The sequence below is a fragment of the Homo sapiens genome, chromosome X, assembly GCF_000001405.40.
Source record: "Homo sapiens chromosome X, GRCh38.p14 Primary Assembly".
Classification (NCBI taxonomy): Eukaryota; Metazoa; Chordata; class Mammalia; order Primates; family Hominidae; genus Homo; species Homo sapiens.
Window position 1 is genome coordinate 52,691,414 of NC_000023.11, and position 20,810 is coordinate 52,712,223.

At 45.8% G+C, this 20,810-nt stretch overlaps 1 protein-coding gene and 1 pseudogene across 3 annotated transcripts; one reads left to right on the forward strand and one right to left on the reverse strand.

Annotated features, from left to right (window-relative positions):
* Window positions 1-5,482: 5,482 nt before the first annotated feature.
* On the reverse strand, window positions 5,483-15,814 carry SSX2 (SSX family member 2). Of its 3 annotated transcripts, none has more exons than NM_001278697.2 (9): window positions 15,699-15,814; window positions 14,268-14,356; window positions 13,715-13,829; window positions 13,084-13,179; window positions 11,168-11,217; window positions 9,030-9,165; window positions 7,441-7,518; window positions 6,571-6,675; window positions 5,483-6,105 (listed from the first exon to the last, which is right to left on the reverse strand). In NM_001278697.2, the coding sequence occupies exons 2-8, from the start codon at window positions 14,334-14,336 to the stop codon at window positions 6,575-6,577; spliced, it is 645 nt and encodes a 214-aa protein (NP_001265626.1). In that variant the 5' UTR covers window positions 14,337-14,356; window positions 15,699-15,814; the 3' UTR covers window positions 5,483-6,105; window positions 6,571-6,574. The 3 variants fall into 3 exon arrangements, with proteins under 3 accessions (NP_001265626.1, NP_003138.3, NP_783629.1); NM_003147.6 differs by having other exon boundaries at window positions 7,373-7,518; NM_175698.4 differs by lacking the exon at window positions 7,441-7,518 and having other exon boundaries at window positions 15,699-15,765.
* Window positions 17,660-19,495, forward strand: LOC791098 (ornithine aminotransferase pseudogene; annotated as a pseudogene).

A 20,810-nucleotide genomic window follows, 5' to 3' on the forward strand; every position in this document is an offset into this window, starting at 1 on the left:
TGGTGGCACATGCCTGTAATCCCAGCTACTCGGGAGGCTGAGGCGGGAGAATCACTTGAACTTAGGAGACAGAGGTTACAGTGAGCCGACATCGCACCATTGCACTCCAGCCTGGGCAACAAGAGCGAAACTCCATCCCGAAAAAAAAAATCATTCTATTACAATCTTGATAACTGCTTTGCTTTGCATCTTACTATGGACTTGTTGGATATCTAGGTGGCTGTAAACTACGCAGAGAAAGATAGAAACAGCAGTGGAGATAATTAGAAAATTGTAGTGTTCCTATAAAACAATTAACAAAAGGGGGAAATTGTAAGGGTAACTAAACATAAAACTGAATTTTTCCTGTTGCCAAGAGGGAAGAAGAAACCTGTCTCCATTTCACTTTCCTTAGAGCATTTCCTTGAGAAAATTTGTATTTGTAAATTCTTCCTTTGATCTGTAAGCCTCTGGCCATCCTAGAACCCAGGAATGTCTTGAACTTGAACTCCAGGCCTCAAGTGATCCTCCAGCCTCAGCCTCCCAAAGTGTTGGTCTTACAGGCGTGAGCCACCACGCCCTGCCCCCGAAATGTCTTTCTTCAGGGCCTTGGCGCCATCTCTTCGAAATGTGAACACTGAGGAAGATGATGTCCTTGTCTCCCTGTCACCAGGGGAGTTTAGCCTAGATGCCTTGCTCTAAGCTGTAAGCAGCTGGTTGTCGTAGAGACATGAGTTTTATTTTTCCTTCAGATAAAGGCAATTAACTAACACAGATGGGTACTCCAGTTACCTGATGAACTTAGGACTTGCCTGGGAGCATTTAGTGTTCACCCTTGGCTGCTGCCATACAGCCAGGCCAATTACCTACATATCTGGACTTTCTGATTTCTGCTACCACTTTTTATTGTTTGTTTGTTTTGCTTTTTTTTTTTTTTTTTTTTTTAGGCGGAGTCGCCCTCTGTTGCCCAGGCTGGAGTGCAGTGGTGTGATCTCAGCTCATTGAAACCTCTGCCTCCCAGATTCAAGCGATTCTCCTACCTCAGCCTCCCGAGTAGCTGGGATTACAGGCGTGTACCACCATGCCCAACTAATTGCTGTTATTTTTAGTAGAGACGGGGTTTCTCCATTCTGGCCAGGCTGATCTCCAACTCCTGACCTCATGATCCGCCTGCCTTGGCCTCCCAAAGTGCTGGGATTACAGGTGTGAGCCACCACGCCTGGCCTCTGCTACCACTTTTGGATTGTATGAAACACTACACTTCCAAGTGTGGGATCTGGCTTCCCAGACAGCTGCCAAAGGGGCGGGTGATGCAATCTAGAAGTGTAGGGGAGTTCGTGCCTGTGGGATATCTACTGCCTGTGAAGTGAATTTTCTTTTTATTTCTTTTTCTTTTTTATTTAGAGACAGAGTCTCTGTCGCCCGGGCTGGAGTGCAGTGGCCCGATCTCGGCTCACTGCAATCTCTGCCTCCTGAGTTTATGTAATCCTCCCTCCTCAGCTGCCCTGGTAGCTGGCACTACAGGCATGCAACACCAATGCCTGGCTAATTTTTTCATTTGTGTGTTTAGTAGAGAAGGGGGTTCACCATCTTGGCCAGGCTGGTCTCGAACTCCTGACCTCAGGTGTTCCACCTGCCTCAGTCTCCCAAAGTGCTGGGATTACAGGCGTGAGCCACCGTACCCGGCCTGTCACATTTACTTTGGAGAATAAAACAAGTTGAGTCTTGTGCCAAAATGCAGGGGAAGCTGCACCCAGACAGGTAACAAAATATTATATACAATCATAGATAGGTTTACTACATACCGATAATAACCATTTAGAAAACCAAATTGAGAAAAATTACACTTTCATAGTGACAAAAGTACATAAAATATCTAAAACCAGATGATTGGAGCAAGATGGCAGACAGATCCCGTGCCCCACTCAATCAACATTCCATTGAACTGAGAAGAAAATGTTTTCAAGGGTCAACTCTTAACAGTAGAGGAAAATAAGAAAACGTGTCAGTGGTCCGCCAGAAATATTGAGGCATTCCTGGGAGATAGAGTAGATGGGATCAGACTGATAGAGAAACCCGAGGAGACAAGACCACAGCTCAAATCACTGTAGTAAAGAGATGCTGTTTGCTTTTTGAGACAGACTTACTCTGTGAGACAGACTTACTCTGTTGCCCAGGCTGGAGTGCAGTGGCGTGATCTCGGCTCACTGCACCCTCCGTCTCTCAGGTTCAAGGGATTCTCCCGCCTCACTCCCCGCAGTAATTGGAATTCACAGAGGCCTGCCACCACTACCGGCTAATTTTTGTATTTTTAGTAGAGACGGGGGTTGCACCCTGTTGGCCAGGCTGGTCTCAAACTCCTGACCTCAAGTGATCTGCCTGCCTCGGCTTCCCAAAGTGCTGATATTACAGAGTGGGTCACCGCGCCCACCCAGGAGATTCTCTTTGTAACAAAGCCTCTGAAAATCTCCAAACCCTGAATCAAAAAAAACACGGAGCTGGAAAGGGCCTTAGGATAATCACATCATGTAGGTTAATTTAAAAGTTCATTAGAGGAACCAACCCAAATGTCCAACAATGATAGACTGGATTAAGAAAATGTGGCACATATACACCATGGAATACTATGCAGCCATCAAAAACGATGAGTTCACGTCCTTTGCAGGGACATGGATGAAGCTGGAAACCATCATTCTCAGCAAACTATCGCAAGGACAAAAAACCAAACACCACATGTTGTCACTCATAGGCGGGAATTGAACAATGAGAACACATGGACACAGGAAGGGGAACGTCACACACCGGGGCCTGTTGTGGGGTGGGGGGAGGGGGGAGGGATAGCATTAGGAGATATACCTCATGGTAAATGACGAGTTAATGGGTGCAGCACACCAACATGGCACATGTATACATATGTAACAAACCTGCACGTTGGGCACATGTACCCTAAAACTTAAAGTATAATGAAAATAAAAAGTTCATTAGAAACATCTGAATCAGCCAGATTCCCCTCCAACACCACAGACAGATTGGCTGGCAGTAGCCACTTTTGCCTCTAAGATGAAACTCTGATAATTGTTCATTAAAGAAAGTGAAGGCCTGGCGAGGTGGCTCACACTTGTCATCCCAGCACTTTGGGAGGCTGAGGCAGGAGGATTGCCTGAGGCCAGGGGATCCAGACCAGCCTGGGCAACATAGTGGATGCCGTCTCTATAAAAAAATACAAAAACTAGCTGGGTGTGGTGGCGTGTGCCTGTAGTTCCAGCTAGATCAGAAGCTGAAGTGGGAGAATCCCTTGAGCCTGGGAGATCCAGGCTGCAGTGAGCTGTACTTGCATCACTGCACTCCAGACTCAGCGACAGACTGCGATACTGTCTCAAAAAAACAAACAAACAAACAAACAAACAAAAAAACAAAAACAAAAAACCACGAAAAAGTAATGTATCAGGACTTGGTGTAACTTCAGCCCTTTACAGTAATAATCAAGGAGAGAAACACATTTGTGGAGAAGGGACCATGTTCACTCTTTATCTATCCATGATAGACAGATAGTCCGGAGCTTTATATACCCATGTAACCTAAGGAAAAATGTTCCCTGTCATAACTCACAATCTTCCTGCCACACTACGTTGCACCTGTCTTGTGGGCTGGGGGACCCAACTTATGGATCCCATTGTCCCAGGGAGAAAGAAAAATCAAATGCTTCGGTATCTCTTTTAGGGTATCCTCTCCTCTATTTGCATGGAGGACATGGCACTCAATATCTAGTAGCCGAATGTTACATTTGTGTAATACAGAACTATATTGGGATAAAATAGAATTTGTTCCCTCTGAGACACAGGTAGAGGTACGTCCACACTGACCTGGGTGGCAGCCATCTCTTCCTGCACTGCCAGGCAGGGCATGCTCACAGATCTGGGGAACCTCTGTTGCTCCTGGAGCTCCACAATCTCCTTCCAGGCACCCTCTCCCTCTGGTGGCTGTGACAGCCCACATGTGGCTTTGTCTCCCCTGCTTCTTTGCCTGCCCCTCTTCTGCCCACCCTTCGTATCTCTGTCTCCCACTGTCCCTGCTGTGACCACAACTGCCTCTCCCTCCCTGCACTCTCTCTCTCCTAGGGCTCCTTGTCTTCGGTAAATGAACCCACAGCCTTTACATTTTGATTGGGGACAGAGCCCGGGGCTTGTTCAATTCCCCCTCCCTCCACCACACACACCTGTCCTCCTTAAAGTTTCTGAAGTCAGTGAGCTCCAAACTCAGCCCCTCCTGCACCTGCCAGCTGTAGGACCTCTGACAAGACACCTACCATCTCTCTGGGACTCCGTCTCTCATCTATTATATTGGCATAATGATGATAGTGTCCTCCTTCGAAGGCTGGGGAGAACCAGGAGGCCAAGGTGATGGGCCACGAACGGGCAAAACAGCTCCAATCCTGCCTCCACCTGGGGCTGGTGTTTCAAGTCCATTGTGTGTGAATGGAGCTTTGATGTCTCCATTGACACGCAATGGTTTGTTCTAAAATAGACTCCCCTCTGCCCTTCCCTTCCCCACAACTGTTTCACCTCTGTACCGTGCAATGGTACCTGTGAGAAAGAACTGTCCCATTCCCAAATCATCATCCCCACCCCAGCCCCCAGGCCTTTGGTTGGTGAGACCCTTGATGGGCGCTCTCATGCTTCTGTCCAGGAGACTTTCCCACCAATTGCTCCCCTGCATGGAGACTAAGTGGACTCTTCTATTCCCTGTCCATCACAGGGTCTACATTGCACGCATCTGCCTTATTCTTCCACGTTCCCCAGATGACGATTTCATCTGTGTCTCCTCCCACATCCACCCAAATGGACCGTCCCAGACCTTGAAACCGAAAATCATTCAGAGAGCAAAGGCCAAGATGCCCAACCACCTGCTACAGAATCCTGCTCCAGGACTGAAGTGTATAGTCTGTATCAAAATAAAAACTGGAGGACAGGTGCTGCGGCTCACGCCTGTAATCCCAACACTTTAGGAGACCAAGGTGGGAGGATTGCTTTGGCCCAGGAGTTTAAGTCCAGCCTGGGTAACATAGAGAGACTTTCTTGACAAAACCTTAAAAAACTTAGTGGATCATGATGGTGCACGCCTGTAGTCACAGCTTCTCTGGAGGCTGAGGACGGAGGATTGCTTGAGCCCAGGAGTTCAAGGCTGCACTGAGCTATGATCATGCCACTGCACTCTAGCCTGGACAGAGCAAGACCACCATCTCTAGAAGAAACAAACAAACAAAACCCAACAACTGGAAACATCCTCCTCTAGAACGGGGGTCAGGAACTCCTGTCTGCCTTGTTCCCTGACGTCGCTCCAGCACCTAGAACAGCGCTCAGCACGAGGACGCACTCATTAGTGTTTTGTTGAATAAATGACTCCTTTGACACAGCAATTCCACTTCTAAGAATCTTTCCTAAAGAAATATGCACACACGTGCACAGAGCTGTGTGCACAATAATGGCACGAGCAAACAACTGGGGAACGTTTGCAAAGGTTTATTAACTGTCAGTGACTGCTACAGGGGAATCGGATGAGGGGAGTACATGCTGACCAGGAAACAGAGTGAGGGGAGCTTGACCAGGACGCATGGCAATGGGAAAAGCAGATGGCAGATGCTTATACTGGTACTTGGTGTGTGTGTGTGTGTGTGTGTGTGTGTGTGTGTGTGTGTGTGGTGTGGTTTGTGTGCGTGTGTGTGTAAATGCAGAGGAAAAAATCTGAAATTAAACACTCAGAACTGCCCTCAGTAGTCACATCTGGGGAGAGAGGAGGGTAATGCTGTTCCATGCAGAGGTAACCGACAATACTTGTTTTCTAAGGTAGGTGCATGGATACACAAACCAAAATATGCATTAAGTATGTCTTGCTCATCAATGAAAATGTTAGTATCTAACAGAATGACACAGTGTAAGAAAATACAACGTAAACGCTAACATCGAACTCTTGGCACACTAAGAAAAATGACGCTCAACTTTTCACTGTTGTGAACACTTGCTTTCACTTGCTATGCACCTGATGACGAGGGGTCCGCAGCCATGCCCATGTTCGTGAAAGGTCACCACGTTCTGCTTCTCATCATGGGCATGTGTCGTATCCCTGAGGCTGAGGCAAGAAGAGAGAAGGAAATAAGTGGCAGTGAGTTCCCACCACGTGGCAACGCAATCTCAACTCCTCCTGACCTGCAGACCCTGCACACTCCGATTCTGCCCTATCTCAGGACCTGCACACGCCTTCCACGGTTCCTCGAAGTGAACCATCTGTTCATGCCACAGTGACTTCCTCGCCTGGGTTATCAATTCCTAGGCTAGAGAAAGGTGTGGCCCGCATATCAGGGCTTACTTGGGGTTTGGGACCCCACAGCATCCTGGGTAGGGAGGATCCCCGGATATATACAGGGCAGGGAGTAGAAAGAGCATGGGAAATCTCTCATCGTTCAGCCTCAATGCTGTACAGTAGAAAATTGTAAGAAGGGAATGATTTGGGGAGCAAGTGACAGATGGGATACCAGTATCATAACAGAATAGCACGTCTGCAGGGATGTGGGGGATGAGTGGAAGGTTCTCTTACGGAGTTACTCGTCATCTTCCTCAGGGTCGCTGATCTCTTCATAAATCACCAGCTGTTTTCTCTCACGCAGTCTGTGGGTCCAGGCATGTTCCCCCCTTTTGGGTCCTGTGATGGAGAATAGTTGGAAAGTGAGGGTTGGGTAGGTTGGAGAGTGTTAGGCTCTGTTTACTCAAAAAAAGGAGATGCCTGCTTCCTCCCAAGTGCCCATGGGCCTTCTTCATCCAGTTTTTCACATTCTCTGGCTTAGAGAGGCTGAGACCTTAGATCCACACCAACATAGGCCAAATGCCAATTAAAGTTTTAGCTTCTGGCTCCTTCCCTTCTCAGGCTTAGATTCCCAACCTCTTCACTTACGGGAACATTCCCCCATACCTCCTTTCATCCAGCACGTATTTGTTAAGGCCACACAGGCGTACCTTGTTTTGTTGCACCTCATGTTCATACTGCTTCGCAGATGCTGCAATTTTTTTTTTTAATTCTCACCAATTTTACACTTTTCCATTATTATTATATCTGCTATAGTGATCTGTGATCGGTGAGCTTTGATATTATTACTGCAATTGATTTTATTGTTTTTTAGTGTTTTAAAATAATTTTTGTTCTTTATTTTGTGGGTACGCAGCAGGTGTATATTCTTATGGGGTACATGAGATGCTTTGATACAGGCATGCAATGGGTAATAATCACATCATGGAAAATAGGGTATCCATCCTCAAGCATTTATCCTTGTGTTACAAACAATCCATTTACACTTTTAGTTTTTTTTTTAATGTACAATTAAGTTATTATTGACTATAATCACCCTGTTGTGTGTAATTGTTTTGGGGGTACCATGAACTGCACCCATAGAAGTTGACAAACTGAATCGACCAATGTTGTGTGTGTTCTGACTGCTCCACCGATGAGCTGTTCCGCGTCTCTCTTCCTTTTCTTGGGCCTCCCTATTTCCTGAGACACAGCAATACTGAAATGAGGATTATTAACAACCTTACAATGGCCGCTAAGTGTTCAAATGAAAGGAAGAGTCGCATGTCTCTCACTCTAAATCACAAGCTAGAAATGGCTAAGCTTAGTGAGGAAGCATGCTGAAAGCCAAGACAGGCTGAAAGCTAGGCCTATTGCGCCAAACAGCCAAGCTGTGAATGCAAAGGAAAAGTTCTTGAAGGAAATAATAATACTAATACTCCAGTGAACACACGAATAAGAAAGCAAAACTGCCTTACTGCTCAAATAGAGGAAGTCTGAGTGGTCAGGATAGAAGACGAAACCAGTCACAACATTCCCTTAAGCCAAAGTCTAATTCAGAGCAAGACCAGAACTCTCTTCAAGTCCATGAATGCTGAGAGAGGTGAAGAAGCTGCAGGAGAAACATGTGAAGCTAGCAGAGGTTGGTTCATGAGGTTTAAGGAATGAAGCCGTTTCCATAACATAAAAGTGCAAGGTGAAGCAGCAAACCCTGATGGAGAAGCTGCAGCAAGTTATCCAGAAGATCTAGCTAAGATCACTGTTGAAGGTGGCTACATGAAACAACAGATTTTCAATGTAGATAAAATAGCCTTCTATTGGAAGGAGATGCCTTCTAGGACTTTCATAGCTAGAGAGGATTGATTTCAACTTTGAAAGAAGTTCTACTGTGGGTAAAATGCTATCCAATAGCATCACATACTACAGAGAAATCCTTCATGAAACGGAGAGCTAATCGATGTGGCAAATTTCACTGTTGTGTTCTTTTAAGAAACTGCCACAGCCACTCCACCCTTCAGCAACCACCACCTTGATCAGCCAGCAGCCATCAACACCGAGGCAAGACCCTCCACCAGCAAAAAGAGTGTGACTCACTGAAGGCTCAGAAGATTGTTAGCATTTTTAACAAAGAATTATTTTTAAATTAAGGTATATACATTTTTAGACACAACGCTATCGCACACTTAGTAGACTACACTATAGTATAAACATAATGTTTTTATGCGCTGCCAAACCAAAAAACAACGTGTGTGACTCACTTTATTGCAGTGGTCTGGAACTGAACCTGCAGTATCTCTGAAGTACACCTGTATTGGGTAACAGGCATGGCATTGAGCTGAGTCTTAATCAGGTAATGATCCCAGGTAATCACAGATAGAATTGCTTGAGCACCTTTCATGTCATCAGGCCTTCTAGATTAAATTTAATGTCTCCAAACAATTTATGAACTATGATTCCTTATTTCCATCTTACGGACTAGGAATCTGGAGCTGAGAAAATCTGAAAGACTTGCCCCAAGTCACATGGTTTTTTCTATGGGTGACAAATCAAGTCTATCTCTGGAAGTCATGTCTAACATCTCATCTGGAGCTGGGCGAGCTCCTCAGCCCAGTCTGGACCCAGGGTTATCTGGGATCCATGCCACACACCCAGTCCATATACCTGAACATCGCCAGGGAAGCCAGAGGGATTGTTCCTGAATTGCTTCCTCTTACCAGATCTCTCGTGAATCTTCTCAGAGGTAGTTGGTTTTCCCGGGGGGCACAGCTCTTTCCCATCATTTTGTGGGCCAGATGCTTCTGGCACTTCCTCCGAATCATTTCCTTCCTCTGCTGGCTTCTTGGGCATGATCTTTATAATGTGAAGATCACAGATAAATAGTATCAGTGACATATCTATAGTGCTTTTGAGCTTACAAAGGGTCTTCACATGCATTAGCTTATTCAATGTTCTCAACAACACTGGGAGAGTTACACAGGCCTAAATTAGGAGAAACCTGGGAGGGGAGGTTAGAAGGGAAAGGAATGGCCTAAGTGAATATGGTTTCCAGGGATAGAATGCTTATCTTCCCACTCTTTTAGGACTGACATTCTTGCAAACAGCAAAAATCTCCATGTAATTGAGAGTGTGATATACAGATGATTTGGAGAAGAGTAGCATTCTAAGAATTCACAAGGTCTACAAAGGGAAGAGGTTCTGTAAAATACAAGGGATCCCATATAAGCTTCTAGACAGCTGCTGGGAGAGTAAATGTAAAAACATAGGGAGGCGACAAAACACTGCTGGGAAAGATGGTGTGGGGAGATGAATACAGGGAAGGGAGAGGGAAAGAAATGGTTTGCCGAAATTAATCTAGGCAGCAAACAAAGCAGTACCAGATATGACATACTACCCTACTGGGGCACCGACATTCAATGTGGAATTCAGTGAGGTGGTACCCATACCAATTCTGGTTGCATTGGGATGTGTCACTGACCAACAATCTTAAGCTACTTTTTTTTTTCTTTCTTTCTTTCTTTTTTTTTTTTTTTTTTTTTTTTTTTGAGACGGAGTCTCACTGTGTCGCCAGACTGGGGTGCCGTGGCATGATATCGGCTCAAGGCAACATCCGACTCCCGCGTTTAAGCGATTCTCCTTCCTTAGCCTCCAGAGTATCTGGGACTACAGGCAGGCACTACCACGCCCCGCTAAGTTTTGTATTTTTAGTAGAGACACGGTTTCACCATGTTGGGCAGGATGGTCTCGATCTCTTGACCTCGTGATCTGCCCGCCTCAGCCTCCCAAAGTGCTGGGATTACAGTCGTGAGCCACCGCGCCCGGCTCTTAAGCTACTTTTCATTCAGCTTCCTCCCTTATGAAATAGTGAACCATACATGTCAAATAGCCTACAGTAAAGTCCTCTCTGAGCTTGTAAACACTGTTTAAATGTCGTAATAATAACAATTAATACCTTTCACAATCCTTCTTTGAATTCAGTCTCCACACTGGCAACCCAACTCCCAGATCCCTTTACCCTCCAAACCAGAGTTGAATCTGCACTTGTGGGATCACTCATTCAGGGGCCTCCGAGGGATCCCCTGGGCTGGGACTGGGCCTTCCCAGATGCCCCAGGTGCAGACAAGGCACTCAAGGAGCTCACAGTAGGGAGGGGCCAACAATCAAAGTGATTCCTAAGCCATGCAAGTGGCCCCAGCAACACAGCAGAGACCAGATGGTCCTTCCTGTTGAGAGAGTGGGTGTCTCATTGGAAGCACCAGCAGGCCCTATGGGGTGAAGCCCTAGTGAGCAACATCTGAACTTCATAGACAAATGCAAATGTGAATGAGCTTTAAATGGCTTGGAGCTCTGGATTAGACTACCACTGCCACTGCGCCCCAGGAAAATTCTTTAACATCTCTGTACCACGATAGCCTCATTTTATTATTATGTTGCTGATAACTATGATCTAAAACATGAACTATAATTCTTTACTTCCATTTCATGGACCAGGAATCTGGAGCTCAGAGAACTTAGAAGATTTGTGTCAAGTCACATGGCTTTCATATGGATGAAAACTGAAGTGTGTGACTCATTATTATTTGGAGATAATAGAAACAATGTCTTCTTAAGGATTAAATAAATTAATCCATGTGAACTGCTTGAAATAGTATCTGGCATCACTATGAAAACAAAAGAAGTATTAACAATCGCAACTGTTGGTACTATCAAGCCGTCGGTGCGACATCAGGTGTTGTGATAGACATGGGGAGAAGAAGGCAGTGAGGGCATTTTTGATATTCTCCCACTCTTACCAGTGTTCGCATCCGTGGAGGGACAAAGGTTCTCTGGTCCTTTAGATCTGAGAGACACTCACCTTCGGGGAGATTCCCTGGAGCCTGCCGAAAGTCATCTGAGGACGTTCAACTGAAAGAGAATACATCAGAATTTTTCTTTGTTGGTAAAGGTTTCCAAACTCTAGAGAGACTTCTGTCGCATCAGGGTATTCTGCAGCAGAGGGTTATGAGTCCACTCATTGTTGAGGAGTTATTTCAGATTTGCTTCTGAATTATGTTTAGTCATGGTTGGTGCATTTATCTGTGGCATCAATTCAGAATTTTCCATCTCATGGTTTATCACATGGGGACTACACCCCATCACAGTCTCATCTTATTCCATTACATATCTTTTACTTTTTCCCAAATAATTAAATTGATTGGTTAGGAATCTGAACTGTATCCACTCAAGATGTGCAACAACTGAAAATCATTGTACACTTCAAATGGGTGAATCTTATGGTATGTGAATTAAGCTGTTAAATGTGTGATGAACCATGGATGATTTGGTCCAGTGGCTCTGAAATATTTTCAGTATAAAGACACTCCTTTACTGTCAAAACTTGGCAGATACTCAAGCACTGGCTTTTCAGGTCTCTTATAGTGATTGCGGGAGATTGTAGAATCTGGCCTGTTTAGTTGGCGAGTAATAGGTCTATTGGAGACGGTTTGGACATTCTGACCTTGTCTTATAATTATGTTGTCAGAGTAGAAGAGCAAGTAAATACATATGTCCCCTTTATATTCCTGAAATGTACAAAGCTCTCTACCCAAGAACCTATCTTTTTTTCACCCTATGTTATCTCTGCTCTCTGACAAGTGGGAAAGCTCTCTGTGTGTTGGATAAGGGATCACTCCTTCAAACTCTCTTCCAAGCTCATTACGGAGAATCAGGGTTCTTTGGGAATGAGAAGACTATTTGGTTTTGATAAACCAATACAGAGAAACAGCGATCTTTATTACATAATGTGTTCATCACCCTCACTCCTAAGATACCTATCCAATACCTACATGCTGTTAATGAAACAAACTCTGGAAGTTTTTGGCGGATCTACAGTTTTAACACTTTCTTTCTTTCTTTCTTTTTTTTTTTTCACTTGTAGCATTTTTTTAGCAGTCCTTTGATTCATTAACGGTGCTTAGGAAGAACAACATGTCGTTTAAAAAAGAAATATTTCAAACACACAGAAAAGTATGGGGAATAATATTGAGTCCAGTCGGATCTCAACATTACCCCACAGCTATGTTAGGTCTGATTTATTTATTCAGAATATTAGAAAAACTGCAAATAGGCCGGGCGTGGTAGCTCACAGTTGTAATCCCAGCACTTTGGAAGGCTGAGGCGGGTGGATCACCTGAGGTCAGGAAGTTTGAGACCAGCCTGGCCAACATGGTGAAACCCCGTCTCTACCATAAATTAAAAAATGAGCTGGGTGTGGGGGCACGTGCCTGTAACCCCAGCTACTCGGGAGGCTGAGGCAGGAGAATCACTTGAACCCAGGAGGTGAAAGTTGGAGTGAGCTGAGATTGCCTTATTGCACTCTACCCTGGCCGAGAAGAGTGAAACTCCATCTCAAAAACAAAAACAAACAAAACACACTATCAACAAGTCACAGCTGAAGCTGTCTGTGCCGCACTCAGTAATCCCTGCCCGCCCTCCCTCCCTCCTCCACTTACAGCCAGTCACCTTAATTTGATGGCTTTTTATTCACATTCATGTTTGTATACATTTACCATTTACTTATTATCCATAAAATATATATTCTTCTTTTGCATGTTTTAAAATTTTATATGAATGGCCTCTGTAGTTAACTTTCTGCATGCAATTTTTTTTTTTTTTTTCACTCAGCCCTGATGTGTATGAGGGAACAAATGCCTGAGGATCTTTCTCAGGTAGCTGAGCTGAAAAGCAGCTGGGCTTGAGGAGACCCTTTCCAGCCCCTTCCCATCTACTCACCCTGATTCCCACGGTTAGGGTCATTATCCAAATCATTCCCCTGGAAGTCTTCGGCCCGTTTATTACACATGAAAGGTGGGAGGGTGGCCTTGAAACCTAGAAAGAAGCAAAATGTTTATTCCTTAAGAGACAAGCTTGGGCCTGGTATGGTGGCTCATGTCTGTAGTACCAACACTTTGGGAGGCTAAGGCTGGAGAATTGCTTGAGGCCAGGAATTCAAGGCTGCAGTAAGCTATGATTGCACTACTGCCCTCTAGCCTAGGTGACAGACTGAGACTGACTCAAAAAAAAAAAAAAAAAAGGAAGAGACAAGCCGAGAGAAGGTAGGGTGGGTGTGTGTGGGGTGGGGGTAGGGGGGTTGCCGGGATGCCACAGAGACAGTTGGGCTCATCAGAACAGAAGCCTAAGGGAGAGAAACGTGCAGGATCCAGGTATAAGCTCCACTGTGGCCAGTCCCTGCCCTCAGCCCTGACAGGATACAGAAGAGCAGAACACCCAGAAGCTGCCTTGCGATTTTTCCCTGCACAAAAGGAAAATGTGAGGTACTTTCTGCAGCCTAAGAAGTAGCCAAAGCAGGAAAAGGGATGCTCATGTGTCCCCAGACTTGTCTGTTCCCAGAACTTTCTGTTACCTAGTTTAGTCATAGCCTCATACTTTCTCTTCATATACACATAGAAGATTTTCTCCGAGGCTTTCATCTTTTCCCACTCTTCCTTAGAGAAGTATTTGGCAATATCATCGAAGGCCTACAAAAAAAAAAAAAAGGAATTATGGCAGGGACTCAGCTAGGCATGTCTGCCATTCAGCTGGAGCCGCTTCCTGTGTGCTAGATCTGGGAACTGGGGATGATAATCCTTCCTGGTTGATGCCATGGCTAACTGACAGAACACGAGGGACCTTCCCTAGCTTCACCCCTGCCACACAGTAGGGCTTTAATGCTGCTGGCTGGCTCTCTTCCCACCTTCCAGAATGGACTGAGAGTCACCAGATGTAGTGCAAGGTCACAGACTTGTCTCCAGGGATGCTAGGTGATGACAGAGCGAGGGTGGGAGGCTCCCAAGGGTCCAGATCTCCCCCGAGACCCTGCTCCTTGTCTCCAGTATCTCTGTCCTCCCCTCCTCAGAAACCGGGTCACCCCACACTGTCCCCTGGGCCACTACTCTGCTCCCTCCAGGTCACCTCACCTTTTGGATCTTCTCTGGTATTTGAGCACCAACCGTGGGTCTCCTTGCAAAGGCGTCGTCTCCGTTCATGGCACCGGGAGCAGTCTGACCTGCAAGAGAAATAGCCTGAGTCTTTCCAGCCACAGCAGCTTTGATCCTGTGGAGGGAGAAGTCAGTGAAGGCCGGCCACCCTCAGTCACCTGGAATCAGCTGCTGCATTTCTCCATCCGGGGCTTATCTGTCCCTGAGTAAGGATATGGGGAGAAATCAGATGAAAACAGGGAACCAGGGGTCTCTGGGAGAAGTATTGATAGGGAATGACAGGTTTCCTATGGGCAAAGCAGCCTTGAGTCTTTGGGAGGGGGTTGGCTAATGTTGTTAGTAGTTTCCCTGGAGCTAGGCTTACCCTGAAAGATGTACGGACCCTTTTTGGGGAGGCAGGGACATGACTGTGTAATTTTATTCAGTGGGGGCATGCTGACACCCCCACTCAATAAATAAAGGAAGGGAAGTTAGTCCCAGAGATAACATGGTCTCTTTGGCGATGGATCTGATCAGGCAGAGGGATGGGGGGTTCTGTTCTGTTGAAGAGAAATGAGCATCGCTAATATGAACGTGTTCAGAGGCTATTACTCGGTGATTTGTAAATTATTAGAAGGAAGAGAGCTAGAATTTCTGAGACTACAAGAGCCCGCCATCACTTAGAGAGAATGTGGGGCATTTCAAGATGCAGCAATCAGCCAGGCGCCGTGGCTCACGCCTGTAATCCCAGCACTTTGGGAGGCCGAGGCGTGCAGGCCGCTTGAGCCCAGGAGGTCGAGACCCGGCTGGGAAACACAGCAAAACCCCCGTCTACAAAATACACAAAAAGTTAGCTGGGGTTGGTGGAGCAGGCCTGTACCATCCCAGCACTTTGGAAGGCCAAGGTGGGCGGATCGCCTTAGCCCAGGAGCTTGAGACCAGGCTCGCAAACGTAGCAAAACCATCTCTACTAAAAAAAACAAACAAAATTTAGCAGAAGCGGGGTGGTGCGCGCCTGTAGCCCCAAGGCCTAGGCGAGAGGCTCACTTGAGCCCAGGAGGAAAGATTTGAGTGAGCTTTTTTGGTTTTTGTTTTTTCAGACAGGGTCTCGCTCTGTTGCCCAGTCGGGAGTGCACTGGCGTGATCATGGCTCACTGCAACCTCCGCCTCTTAGGTTCAGGCGATCCACCAGCTGTGGCTTCCAAAAGTGCAGGGATTACAAGTGTAAGCCACCACGCCCGGCCCAAATTTCTTAAGTTACTACAGAGTTCCTAGGAAAAATCCCGTACCTGAAAAAGTTAGAAACTGACAGGAAAGATTCGAGATGGCGGCCTGCCTCATATACACTCCTTATTAAAACTAGATAGCAAATGCACCGCGGAGGAGGGGAGGGGTAGGAAGAATGGAAAAAGAAAATCGGCGTATGCTTACTCTGATTTTGGAAGAATCCAAAGAGAAAATCAGACCGTGCGTACTCTGAGTATGGAAGAATCGAAAGAGAGAGAAAGTCAGAGCATGCGTACTCTGAACTTAAAGTAGCCAATCCCAGGGGATGCTTTAGGCGGGAAAATTAGAGTCTCCACCCCCACTTTGAGAAGGTTCCGTCCCTGGAGCCGGGACTGATAGAAGCCACATCCGCTTCGCTTGTTCCGCCTACTGTTCTGACTTCTAATTGGCCAGATGGAGTTCACTAACTGCCCTGATTGGTCCATCATCCTTGGGCAGTGACATAGCAGAATAATGTCTCCTCCTCCAGCCACACTTTGTTGCCACTGCGAAAAAGTGGGTGGTCCTCAGGCGCCGTCAGATTTTGAACTCTCTGAAGACCGTTCCTGGATCTTGGGTTAAAAATCTGGATTCTAGTCTGAACTGTGGGAAGAAAAAAATAGTCAATCTGTGATTTTTCTACTTGAAAGACACGATGTTTTCCAAACTAGCACATTTGCGGAGGTTTGCTATACTTAGTCGTGGCTTTCATTCTTCAGTGGCTTCTATGTCTGTTGCCACTGAAAAAACAGTCCAAGGCCCCGCAACCTCTGCTTACATTTTTGAAAGGGAATCTTAAGTATGGTGCGCACAATTACCATCCTTTACCTGTAGCCCTGAAGAGAGGAAAATGTATTTACTTATGGGATGTGATTGTGGTATTGGTTACATCTGCCTTGGCCAATCCTCCAGCCTCCGTCTTGGGACTACAGGCGCGAACCACCCTACCCCCACTAATATTTTTTATTTTTTGATTTTTTAATAGAGAAGGTTTCGCTGTGTTGGCCAGGCTGGTCTTGACGTCGTGGGCTCAAGCGATCCTCCCACCTCGGCCTCGGGACTACAGGCATTCACCACCCAGCCCACGCTTTTTTTTTTTTTTTTTTTTAAGTAGAAACCAGGTTTTGCTATGTTGGCCAGGCTGGTCTCATCGTCCTGGGCTCAAGGGATCCTTCCGCCATGGCCTCGAGACGACAGGCATGCACCACCCTGCCCACGCTTTTTTTTTTTTTTTTTTTTTTAGTAGAAACCGTGTTTCCCTATGTTGGCCAGGCCGGCATCAAGCTCCTGGACTCAAGGGATCCTCCCATCTCAGGACTACAGCCATGCACCACCCTGCCCAAGCTATTTTTTGTTTTGTTTTGTTTCGTTTTAGTGGAAACCGGGTTTCGATATGTTGCCCAGGCTGGCCTCAACCTCTCAGGCTCAGATGATGCTTCCACCTCGGCCTCAGAACTATAGGCGTGTGCCATTCTACCCCGCTCATTTTTATTTATTTATTTATTTATTTATTTTTTAGGAGAGGCAGGCTTTCGCTTTGTTGGCCAGGCTGGTATCAAACTCCTGGGCTCAAGCAATGCTCCCACCTTGGCCTCAAAACTACAGGAGTGAGCCACCCCGCCCACGCTATTTTTCTGTTGTTCTTGTTGTTAGCAGAAATGGGGTTTCGCTATGTTGGCCAGGCTGGCCTCGACCTCCTAGGCTCAAGCAATCCTCCCGCCTCGGCCTCGGGACTATGGGCTCACACCACCCCGCCCCCACTAATATTTTTAATTTTTCTATTAGAGACAGTTTCGCTATGTTGTCCAGGCTGGGCTCTACCTCTGGGACTCAAGTGATTCTCCCGCCTCGGCCTTGGGACTACAGGCATGCACCACCCTGCCTTTTGCTATGTTTCCCAGGTTGGTCTTGACCTCCTGGGCTCACTCAATGATTTGAACCCGGGAAGTGGAGGTTGCATTGAGCTGAGATCACACCACTGCACTCCAGCTTGGGCGACAGAGCAAGACTGAAAAAGAAAGAAAGAAAGAAAGAAAGAGCGAGAGAGAGACCAGCTGAATCTCCGTAAGAACAGTGAGCTTTGTGGTATTTTTACTTGCCCTCGTCCCATCTCATGCTCCCAGCTTGGTTCTGTTCATTGTTGATGAAATACAGATAGGATTGGCCAGAACTGGTAGATGGCTGGCTGTTGATCATGAAAATGTCAGTCCTGATATAGTCCTCCTTGGAAAGGCCCTTTCTGGAGGTTGATACTCTGTGTCTGCAGTGCTGTGGGACGATGGCATAATGCTGACCATTAAGCCAGGGGAACATGGGTCCACATACGGTGGCAATCCACTAGGCTGCTGAGTGACCATCGCAGCCCTTGAGGTTTTAGAACAAGAAAATCTTGCTGAAAATGCAGAAAAAAAAATGGGTATTATCGTGAGAAGTGAACCCATGAAGCTACCTTTTGATGTTGTAACTGCCATAAGAGGAACAGAATTATTATTATTGCTATTATTTTGAGTCAGAGGTTCATTCTGGTTGCCCAGGTTGGAGTGCAATGGCGCGATCTTGGCTCACTGCAACCTCTGCCTGCTGGGTTCTAGCGATTCTCCTGCCTCAGCCTCCTGAGTAGCTGGGATTACAGGCACGCGCCACTATGCCCGGCTAATTTTTGTATTTTTAGTAGAGACGGGGTTTCGCCATGTTGGCCAGGCTGGTCTCGAACTCCTGACCTCAGGCGATCCACCCGCCTCAGCCTCCCAAAGTGTTGGGATTACAGGCGTGAGCCACTGTGCCCGGGAGGAAAATAATTATTAAATGCTATTGTTATTAAAGAAACCATAGACTGTAATGCTTGGGAGGTGTGTCTATGACTTTGAGATTATGGACTTCTGGCCAAGCCCACCCATGGTGACATCATCAGGTTTCACCTCTGCTGGTGATCAAGGAGGATGAGATTCGAGAGTCCAGTGAAATCATTAACAAGACCATCTTGTCGTTCTGAGGGTAGCAGCTGTTTTCAGTGGTCCCTGGGAGCCGGCTGGAGACAGGTGGTCCTGTAAAAGCTCTGCTCTAAATGTAGGCACATTCCACTCCCATGTGCCGTCAAAATCTTTTTGTGTATATATGTTTTTTTCAGTTGATACACAATGGAACAATGTTCATGAACCTGACATTTGCTTTGTAGTGTTAAGAGAATGTAATGGCATCTATATTCAGTGAAAGCGTTTTGATGTGCACGTGTACTTTATAAGGTGAAATGCATCTGTATATACAGACAGCCTTTAAATCACATCCTTCAGTATACTTTATATATGCTTTTATAATTTCCTTGCTGGTATAAAGGTTTTGTATTTGAAAAAGTATCTCTAGCGTATTACATAAAAGGCTGCACCTTATAAAGTCAAATCATTGTTTTCATTGAATTTTAGGAAGGATCAATGGTTAAGCATATAAAAAATACTAGTTCTTTTGTTTTCTTTTGTTTTTTGTTTTTGTTTTTGTTTTGAGACGGAGTCTCGCTCTGTCGCCCAGGCTGGAGTGCAGTGGCTCGATCTCCGCTCACTGCAAGCTCCGCCTCCTGGGTTCACGCCATTCTCCTGCCTCAGCCTCCCGAGTGGCTGGGACTACAGGTGCCCACCAAAACGCCTGGCTAATTTTTTGTATTCTTAGTAGAGACGGGGTTTCATCGTGTTAGCCAGGATGGTCTCGATCTCCTGACCTCGTGATCCGCCCGCCTCGACCTCCCAAAGTGTTGGGATTACAGGTGTGAGCCACTGAGCCTGGCCTATAAATTACTAATATTAAGTAAACTTTATGTTGACCAACACCAGGATATATTCTATGGATGTCATTATTTTGAATTAAGAATTAGTGTTTAACATCCCTAAATTGTTTTGAGTGCTTGATTATAATTTGTAAAAAAAAGTTTATTTTTAATATTTCTTTACATTTTAAACAAAGCTTATATTTCAGAAAAAAAAAAAAAGAGACAGAACATGGCCGGGTGCAGTGGTTCACGCTTGTAATCCCAGCACTTTGGGAGGCCGAGGTGGGCAGATCACTTGAGGTCAGGAGTTTGAGACCAGCCTGGCCAACATGGAGAAACCCCGTCTCTACTAAAAGTACAAAAATTAGCCAGGCATGGTGGCACCCGCCTGTAGTCCCAGCTACATGGGAGGCTGAGACAGAATAGCTCGAACCCGGGAGGCAGAGGCTGCAGTGAGCTCGAGAGTGTGCCACTGCACTACAGCCTAGGAGACAGAGTGAGAATCCCTCTTGAAAAAAAAAATGTACAGTACATTTTCATCACCGCAATGCTATCCCTTGTGCTACTCATTTTTAGTAATACTCTCCTCCCATCCGCCATCCCTAATCCCTGGCAACCACAAATCTGTTTTTCGTTTCCACAATTTTGTCTTTTCTACAATGCTGTACAAGTGAAATCTTACAGTATATAACGTTTTACGGGCTTATTTCACTCAGCGTAATTCCATGGAGATTCCTCCAAGATATTGATATTTGTGTATCAATAGTTCATTGTTGTTGTTGTTGTTGTTGAGACAGAGTCTCACTCTGTCACCCAGGCTAGAGTGCAGTGTCTCGGCTCACTGCAACTGTCTGCCTCCCGGGTTCAAGCAATTTTCCAGCCTCAGCCTCCCGAGTAGCTCTGACTACAGGTGCGCGCCACCACACCCGGGTAATTTTTGTATCAGTAGTAAAGATGGGGTTTCAACATACTGGCAAGGCTGGTCTTGAACTCCTGACATCATCATCCACCCGCCTCGACCTCCCAAAGTGCTGTGATAACAGGGTGAGCCACTGTGCCCTGACGATAGTTCATTTTTATTGCTGAGTAGCATTCCAGGGGATGGATATACCACAGTTTGACCATTCACTTATTTTAGGACATATTGATTATTTCCAGCTATTGGCTATTACAAGTAAAGCTGCTATGAACAATTATGTACAAGTTTCTGGATGGGCATACATTTTAATTTCTCTGAAGTGTAATTGTTGAATTGTATGGTCACTGCATTGTTTAGTTTTATAAGAAACTACCAAACTGCTTTCCAGAGTGGCTGTAAGATTTTACCTTCCCAGCAGCACTTAATGAGGTGTCCAGTTTCTCTGCATCCTTGTCACCATTTGGTGTTGTCACTATGTCTTTTATTTTAGCTATTGTAATAAGTGTGTAGTGATACCTCATCGTGGTGTTATTCTGCATCTAGTGAAGCAAATGAGTGTTGAACATCTTTTCATGTGCTTATTTGCTTATTTCCTCTTCAG